General features: G+C 40.3%; 1 annotated feature.

Moving 5' to 3' along the window:
• Positions 8,088-8,300: a silencer, noted in NCBI's record as "fragment chr18:4753197-4753409 (GRCh37/hg19 assembly coordinates)". NCBI's record gives its function as "represses an EF-1alpha promoter that drives an FKBP-Casp9 reporter gene in an ReSE screen in HepG2 liver carcinoma cells {active_cell/tissue: HepG2}" and the evidence as "EXISTENCE:reporter gene assay evidence [ECO:0000049][PMID:32094911]".

The following is a 9,576-nucleotide window of genomic DNA, read 5'->3' on the forward strand; positions in this document are numbered from 1 at the left end:
AGATTTATCTGTAGTATGTGATATTATTTGATAGCATTTTATCAACAGTAGAACTTATTTCAAAATTGAATTCAATCTTCTCAAACCCTGCCACTACGTTTTATCAACCAAGTATGTACTAGTCTAAATCCTTTGTTGTCATCAACAATGTTCACAGCATCTTCACCAGAAGTAGATCCCATCTCAAGAAACCATTTTTCTTTGCTCATCCATAAGAAGCAAGTCCTCATCCATTCAAGTTTGATCATTAGTTTGCAACAATTCAGTCACATCTTCAGCTTCCACTCCTAATTCTAGTTCTCTTGCTATTTCCACCATATCTGTAGTGACTACTGAAGGAAGTCTTCAGCCCTTCAAAGTCATCCATGAGGACTGGAATCAACTTCTTCCAAATTTCTGCTCATGTTGAGATTTTTACCTCCTTCCATAAATCACAAATGTCCTTAATGACATCTAGGATGGTGAATCCTTTCCAGAAGGTTTTTAATTTGCTTCTCTCAGATCCACCAGAGAAATTACTATCTATAGCCACAATAGCCTTAAACAATGTGTTTTTTCAACAGTAATATTTGAAAGTAAAAATTACTCCTTGATTCATGAGCTGCAGAATGTATGTTGTGTCAGCAGGCATTAAAACAACATTCATCTCCTGTATTGCTCCATCAGAGCTCTGGAATGACCAGCTGTATTTCAATGATCAGTAATATTTTGAGAATAAATCTTTTTTTCTGAGCAGTGGGTCTCAACAGTAGGATTAAAATATTCAGTTAATCATGGTATAAGCAGATATGCTGTCATCCAGGCTTTTCAGTTCCACTGATAAAGCACAGGCAGAGACAATGTAGCGAAATTCTAAAGGGCCTTAGTATTTTCCAAATGGCAAATAAGCTGTAGTAGTTAAAGTCGCCAGCTGTAGTAGGACCTAACAAGAGAGTCAGCCTGTCCTCTGACGCTTTGAAGCCAGGTATTGACTTCTCCTTTCTAGCTATGAAAGGTCTAGAGGGCATCTTTTTCCAAAACGAGGCTGTTTTGTCTACACTGAAAATCTGCTGTTTAGAGTAGTCACCTTCATTAATGGTCTCAGCTAGATTTGAATAACTGGCTACAGTTTCTCCATCCACAGTTTCTGCTTCACTTGTGCTTTCATGTTATGGAGGTGGATCCTTTCCTTAAACCTCATAAACCAAGCTCTACTAGCTTCAAACTCTTCTTCTGCAGCTTCCTTACCTCTCTCAGCTTTCATATAATTGAAGAGAGTGAAGGACTTTGTCTGGATTAGTCTTTGGCTTAAGAGAATGTTGAAGCTGCTTTGATCCAGACGACTCAGACTTTCTCCACAGCAGCAATAAGGCTGTTCTATTTTCTTATCATTCTTGTGTTCCCTGGAGTAGCACTTTTCATTTCCTCCATGAACTTTTCCTTTACATTCTCAATGTGGCCCCAAGACTGTCTGGGGCCAGAAACCTAACTTTTGGCCTATCTCAATTTTTAACATGCTTCCCTCAATATGCTTAATTATTTCTGGCTTTTGCTTTAAAGTGAGAGACATGCAACTCTTCTTCTACTCCAACACTCAAAATCCACCGTAGGGGTATTCATTGACCTAATTTCAATATTGTTGTATCTCCAGGAATAGAAAGGCCCAAGAGAAGGGAGCGAAGTGGGGAAATGCCTGGTCATTGGAGAAGTCAGAATACACATAGCATTTTCAATTAAGTTCACTGTCTTATATGGGTGTGACTTGTCACACCTCAAAACAATGATAATAATAACATCAAAGATCACTGATCACATGATCACAGCTCACCGTAACAGATAAAATAATAATGAAAAATTTGAAACATTGTGAGAATTACCAAAATGTGATACAGATACAGAAACAGAACACATACTGCTGGAAAAAAAATAGTGCTGACAGACTTGCTCTAAGTAGGGTTGCCACAAACTTAAATTGGTTAAAAAAAAAAAAAAAAAATGGTCTCTGTGAAGTGCAATAAAATGAGATGTGCCCATAGTTAACATTCAGGGATCCATCCACATAGTATACTACTTCTGATGAAACAAACAAAAGAGGTGGCAATTTGAGGAGAAAGTTATCACAAAGGTGAAGGTGTCATGACAAATGAGTCAAGGGCAGATGGGTGTTAATGAATTACCTAAATGCAAAAGTTAGGAGGACAAAAGTTGTACTTAAACATTTATGAAGTCAATTAGAAGTAAAAGAAACAAAACCATCTCAGAAACCTTAAGGCATGATTACAAACACTAAATATTTGAGAAATAGACTAAAACTAGGGGCTTAATTTTATGAATCACTGCAGTTCAAGGCTTCTGGAAAATAGGGATATTTAATTTTTTATATCAAACCACAAATCTTTTTCCACCATTCCTTCCACATTTCCTATCATCCTTTGCCCTAAAATCCCCAAGATCTTCATGCTGCTTTACTTCTCTACAGCAGGGGTGGCCCACCCTGGGAGGGGTCCGTGGCCTGTTAGGACTTGACTACACAGCAGGAGGTAAGCTATGCCTCCTGTCAGATCAGCAACAGTGTTAGATTCACGTAGGAGCATGAACTCTATTGTGAACTGCGTGTGTGAGGGATCTAGGTTGCACACTCCTTATGAGAAGCTAATGATAAATGTAATACTCTTGAATAATTCTGAAACCATCCCCCCTGCCAGCCCATCTGTGGAAAAATTGTCTTCCATGAAACCAGTCCATGGTGCCAAGAAGGTTGGGGACCACCGCTCTATAGGACATCCTGCTGACACCCAGAAAAGTTCCACAAGTTTATTTTCCCTCTCCATCTCTCCCAATATAAGACCTTGATCTCACTAGATAGTAAGAAGATACTAGCAGGTAAACAAATGCTCCCTAAGCTAAGCTCCCTGTATGTGTCAGTACCTAGGAATGGTCTCCAGTATTGACAGCTACATGAGAATCAACAGAAAGAGTAAAACTAAGTCTTCCTAAGTAAGATTTCCCACTCTCATATAAGACCACACAGGCCTTTATATGATAAGATCAGCCAGATGCTAAGGCAATCCTGAGCATTTTGTTATCCAAATGTGCTTTTTTAGGAAGCATGTGTTAGAAATTCATTTCTCTAACCTTCTAACTCGATCACTTTGTAAAATATAAGCATTACCCAAATGGCAGTTGTATTCACAGATGTAGGCCTGCACTATGTTTCTGAGGAAAAGCCAAGAATTTGGAATTTCTCTGCATTTTTAATGTTACCGAATATTTCCTGTAGTAGAAAATTTCATTTAATGTATATAGATAAAATTTGGGTGTTATAAAAGTGGGAGAGATATTACTTTATGTTGTAGGGGAGAAAAAGTAATATATTTTCCTCAGCCATTGCAAGATGGATGGCTGTCATCCCTGTAATAAAAGAGAGATTAACAAGAAAGAAAGGCAACAAATTGATTAACCAAAGTTCTACGTGACGTAGGAGCTGTCAGAAATGAAGTCCGAAACACCCATGGAAAACTGCAGTTTTATGCTTCAGTTTGATGAACACTGGACAGTGATGTATGTAGAAGTGTGATTGGACGAAGTTGGTATGGTATAAACAAACTGGGAGGAACTTTGCAATTTCTGTTTGTTCAATTTTTCTGTGTGTCTTTATGTCTTCATTCCTTTCCTCTGGGTATAGGGCAGGGCATGTGTCACAAGAGGATCCTCAGGGGAGAAGGGAGGGAGAATTCTTTTCATGTCCCCATGCAGAAAGGCAGAGGAGGTTAGTGATCTTCTGCTCAGGCCAATGTGACATACTTTGGGATACAGCGTTCTGAGCCCTGACACTAGACTGTACACATTGTGTTGTACAAAGAGATGAGACTTAGACAGTATAACCTCTACTCACGCAGCTCATAAGTCATGGAACCAGACTTTCTGGGTCTAGGGATTCCTGTCCAGGTGCTTTACATACCTCTCACTGGTGTATCTAGAGATGTTTTTGAGGGTGGTCAGGCAGAAACTCCAAAAGGCACATCTCTTAAGGACTAAGATTTGTGTACTCTCAGCTGTGGGAACACTGCCCCCGGAGTCGTCTGAGGACTCAGCCTATGCCCTCCCTGTGCTGTGTCTCATTGACAGCTGTTATTCCTCCCAGGGAACTCTCTCATTACAAACCCCAACTAACTGCCAGGAGGTGGAACTGGACTAAGAAACCTACGATCTTCTTTGCGCCTCTTCAAAATAAGGATTAAGGCAATGTTTCATTACCATTTTCTTATATCCAAGTTCCATCCTACCTCAGCACCACTTAAAACTCTCTCCAACTTGTGCTCTTTCCTTCAAGCAGCTCACATCACTCTCATTCTGTAAACAGAGGTTTTATAATAATAAAACGTACTAGTCTCACATAAATATGCATGAAAACTGCCACTGTTCCACAACATCTGGTGCCCACATCTGCCTTAAATTTCTCTTCTAGAAACTAGCGTCAGAGCTCCTCTCTCCCTTGCATTCTGACTTAATGACAGATTTGCAAATTATTAAGGAAACAAATTATATAACACTTCAAGTAGCTAGTGTGACAGGATCTGAAACATTCTAGGCATGCATGTATCTGTTTCACTTCATTTCTTCTTTGGAGAATAATTTCTATTGTGACTCCTTTAAGTTTTTGACAATTAGTTAGCTAGGAAACACATTTTCTGGAGTATCCTCAATTTTTAAGCTAAGTTTCAGGAATAGAGTCAGAAATACTATGTCTTCTCTGGAGACGATGCCATATGCTCCATGTGCTCTTGGTGACACTCGGATGCTTATGCTTTGACCCAGAGAATTTACCCTTTCCACTGTCTGCTTTGCCACAGCCTTTGAGCAGATGAAAATCAAGCTCTGATTTCCTTGTTTTTGTACATTAGGTCCAGGCTTTCGGGAAGCTCTGATAAAACACTAGAGAAAGCTCTCTGACGACCAAAATTAGTCTGCCACCCAAAATAACATGCTCTCTGCCACCCCTTGCCATAATGCAGCAGTGTTAAGAGAAGGTTAAAGGGAGAGAGAGTGGGAGGGGACGGGAGCTTGGGGCAGCTGAAATAAAAGCTATAATGTCTCTGGATTTGCTTATTTGACGCTAACCTTACCTGCCACTAGCTTCAAATTGGACATGCCATTTGAGTAACATAATGACGAGTTACCAACCCACTCCAAACACTGATTCTTAGGAAGGCGTACCTTCTTTTTTTCTTTCTGCCCTTCAGCATATGTAAGCTTTCTTAAAGAGACGTCCAGTCTGGTGGCACACCTTTAATCATCCGTACGCCAATCATTCTCTCTGGTTCCTGCCAGATGCCCCTGAAATAGACCACTGCCCACAACCTGGCAGGCTGGAGAGGCTGATGACTGTGACAATTATAAGAGGCTAATTAGCACACCAGAACGGTGGTAACCTTGCCTTTCCTGTGCAGTCACCGTGCAGAGTTTTCTCCAGAAATTTCTCCGCAGCAATGTTACAGGCTGTTCTTTTCCACCGTCAGAGGTGAAAGCAAAATAGAAACTAAAATTGGAGTGTGTAGAGCCATCTGGATCAGATGTGGCACAGACAAGAAGGTCTGGCAACTTTTCCAATCCTTGTCATGTAAAGACAGCTACCAGAGCCCAGAAAGCAAGCTCTATCAAAGTGGATAGAGGTGATAAAGGCGATTCTACACTATAATTTGTCCATCAAAAAGACCTCCACTAAAAACCCCTAAAAGCACTCAGCACTTCTCTCTTCGTGGTTCTATGCCATTTTGTTGGACAAGTCACAGTGAAACTTCTTGTATCTCTTTCTAGTAGGAGCTCTAGAAGAATCTCCCAGAAAAAGTTGCTGTGCAAGTTTTTCTTCTTTGAAAACTAGAGAAAGAACATTTAACACCACAATACTTCACTTCTGGGCTCCTGAAACCAACTTGATATTATGGGAAAAACTTATGCTTGGAAAGGACTGAGTCCCAGATCAGCCTCTTCTGGCTGTGTGTTCTTGAGCAAGTCACTTGCTCCATCTGAATTTCAGTTCCGTCATCTGCAAAATGGGCATAGTAATACTGATACCTGCCTTACCCAAACAACACAATCAATGAAATAAAGCAGGTGGAAGTACCTGATGCTATCAGCCACTCCGTATGTAAGTTGGTCCCTATTGTTTTAAATGAAAATATTTTATTTTTCTGATGGAAAATTGTATTTGCTTATTCTAAAACTTTTCAGAAATTGTATGAAAATAGAACAGGGTAGAAATGGTTTCTCTTTTCAAAGGGATAACCACTAACAACATTGTGATATCTTCCCTTCCAGTCTTCCTTTAAGCACACACCTCCACTTCACAAAAATGGTGTCATACTATGCCAGTTGTTTGTGAAATGCAATTTTTATTTAATGTAATGTGAAAAAATGTAAGTTATTATTTTTACTATGAAAAGGAAAGTAACCCAGACGCAAATTGAAGATAGCACAAATATACCCAGCATATGGCATTTCCCCACTGTGTCAAAGTGAATTATTCATAAGCATTTGTCAGAAATATCCAACATTACTGAGCTATTCTGGAACAACAGGGTACCAATTCTGAAGCAGAGATTGCCACATGTTCAATAAAACCTGTTTTGTTTCCCTCCTGGGCATATGGCAAAGCTATATTTGCTAGACCCCCTTGCATTTAGATGTGGTCACATGACTGAGTTTTAGCCAATAGAACATGAGTAGAAGGAATCTGTGTCAATCCCAGATGAAGCGGTGAAGAAGAGTCTGTGCCTTTGCTGCGGAATCTCTCATCCTCTGCTAATTGAATGAAAGGAGCCTATAAATCTGGGTCCTGGAGCAACCATGATGTATACCACATGCCAAGGACACACAGGTCTCAACATAACTAAGAAATAAACATCTACTAGGCTACTGAATTTCAGAAGTTTCTATTCCAACAGCTATTCTTACTTGCCCTAAAGAATGACACTTTTAATATACTTCCAAGTAATATGTATAGATTGAAACTTGGAGTACATCCAGAACATTCCTGACATGTGGGCAGAGCTGAAAATCATTGAGTGTTTTAATTTCAGAAACGCAGAGAACGACTCTCCCTAGTCACTTACTTGTTACAAATAAGTCTCTCCCTATTCCCTTATTAAAAATTTCTAAATTGCTGTTCCTAGAGACAAAGCCTTCTTTCTATATGTCAGATTAAGACTGAAAATGTAAATATCCCTCAGAGAGATAACACATTCATTCTACTCTAAGGTGTGAAAAGGGATATTATTTTTACAGCTAAAATGCAGGGTGAGGTGAAAGAAAGCAGATAAATAATAAGAGTCTAAAAGGAAGGGGAAAGTAATACAGAGAAAAAAAGAAAAGCTACCAAAATGCATTGTTAAAAGTTCAAATATTTCCAAGTTTTGTCTGAGATTGGTCATATGAAGTATGTACATTGAAGGCACATTGCCTAGTTTAAAGAATAGTAAAGACCATAAAGAAGGGTTAATGTCAGAAACTGTGAAGAGCAACCTAACAAGTTAGCCTACCATGGTATTTTGTGGATGCTGGCAGAAGACAGAAGGCTCTTAGATCAGAGACAAAGGACTATTCCCAGAGCCCAGCAAATAACATGAACTTCATATCTCTCCAGTTGCCCCTTGCATCCTAGTGCCCATGGGGATGATGTGAAGGCAGGTCAGGTCAATGCTGTACACCGAGTGGGCTCTGTGTCCCAGTTGAGGAAGCCAGAACTTGAGAAACCCTGTTATTTTATAATGGACTGTAAACAAACCTGATGTGTCCAGAATTGGTTCCTTCTGGTGAGTTCTTGGTCTCCCTGACTTCAAGAATGAAGCCTCCGACCCACGTGGTTGAGTGTTACTGTTCTTAAAGATGGTGTGTCCAGAGTTTGTTCCTTCAGATGTTCAGATGCGTCTGGAGTTTCTTCCTTCTGGTGGCTTCGTGGTCTTACTGACTTCAGGAGTGAAGCCGCAGACCTTTGCAATGTGTTACAGCTCTTAAAGGTGGCGCATCCGGAGTTGTTTGTTCCTTCAGGTGGGTCTGTGGTCTCGCTGGCTTCAGAAGTGAAGTTGCAGACCTTCATGGCGAGTGTTACAGCTCATAAAGGTAGTGCAGACCCTAAGAGTGAGCAGCAGCAAGATTTATTGTGAATAACGAAAGAACAAAGCTTCCACAGTGTGAAAGGGGACCCTAACAGGTTGCCACTACTGGCTTGGTGGCCAGCTTTTATTCCCTTATTTGGCCCTGCCCACATCCTGCTGATTGGTCCATTTTAGAGAGCGCTGATTGGTCCTTTTTACAGAGTGCTGATTGGTCCATTTTTAGAGTGCTCATTGGTGCCTTTACAAACCTTTAGCTGGACACAGAGCACTGATTGGTGTGTTTACAATCCTTTAGCTAGACAGAGAAGTTCTCCAAGTCCCCACCCGACTCAGAAGCCCAGCCGGCTTCACCTCTCACTGACAGACATTTTTGTCCTGGAAAATGGCATTACTTTTATTATACTAGACTAAGTTTGTCAAACCTGCAGCCCACAGGCCACATGTGGCCCAGGACGGCTTTGAATCTGTCTCAATACAAATTCATTAACTTTCTTAAAACACTATGAGATTTATTGTGATTTTTTTTTTAGCTCATCAGCTATCATTAATGTTAGTTTTTTTTTTAATACTTTAAGTTTTAGGGTACATGTACACAACGTGCAGGTTTGTTACATATGTATATATGTGCCATGTTGGTGTGCTGCACCCATTAACTCGTCATTTAACATTAGATATATCTCCTGATACTATCCCTTCCCCCTCCCCCCACCCCACAACAGGCCCTGGTGTGTGATTGTGTGATGTTCCCCTTCCTGTGTCCATGTGTTCTCATTGTTCAGCTCCCACCTGTGAGTGAGAACATGTGGTGTTTGGTTTTTTCTCCTTGGGATAGTTTGCTGAGAGTGATGGTTTCCAGCTTCATCCATGTCCCTACAAAGGACATGAACTCATCATTTTTTATGGCTGCGTAGTATTCCATGGTGTATATGTGCCACATTTTCTTAATCCAGTCTATCATTGTTGGACATTTGGGTTGGTTCCAAGTCTTTGCTATTGTGAATAGTGCCACAGTAAACATACATGTGCATGTGTCTTTACAGCAGCATGATTTATAATCCTTTGGGTATATACCCAGTAATGGGATGGCTGGGTCAAATGGTATTTCTAGTTCTAGATTCCTGAGGAATCGCCACACTGACTTCCACATGGTTGAACTAGTTTACAGTCCTACCAACAGTGTGAAATTGTTCCTATTTCTCCACATCCTCTCCAGCACCTGTTGTTTCCTGACTTTTTAATGATCGCCATTCTGACTGGTGTGAGATGGTAACTCATTGTGGTTTTGATTTGCATTTCTCTGATGGCCAGTGATGATGAGCATTTTTTCATGTGTTTTTTGGCTGCATAAATGTCTTCTTTTGAGAAGTGTCTGTTCATGTCCTTCGCCCACTTTTTGATGGGGTTGTTTGTTTTTTTCTTGTAAATTTGTTTGAGTTCATTGTAGATTCTGGATATTAGCCCTTTGTCAGATGAGTAGGTTGCA

Source organism: Homo sapiens, chromosome 18 (assembly GCF_000001405.40).
Source record: "Homo sapiens chromosome 18, GRCh38.p14 Primary Assembly".
NCBI lineage: Eukaryota > Metazoa > Chordata > Mammalia > Primates > Hominidae > Homo > Homo sapiens.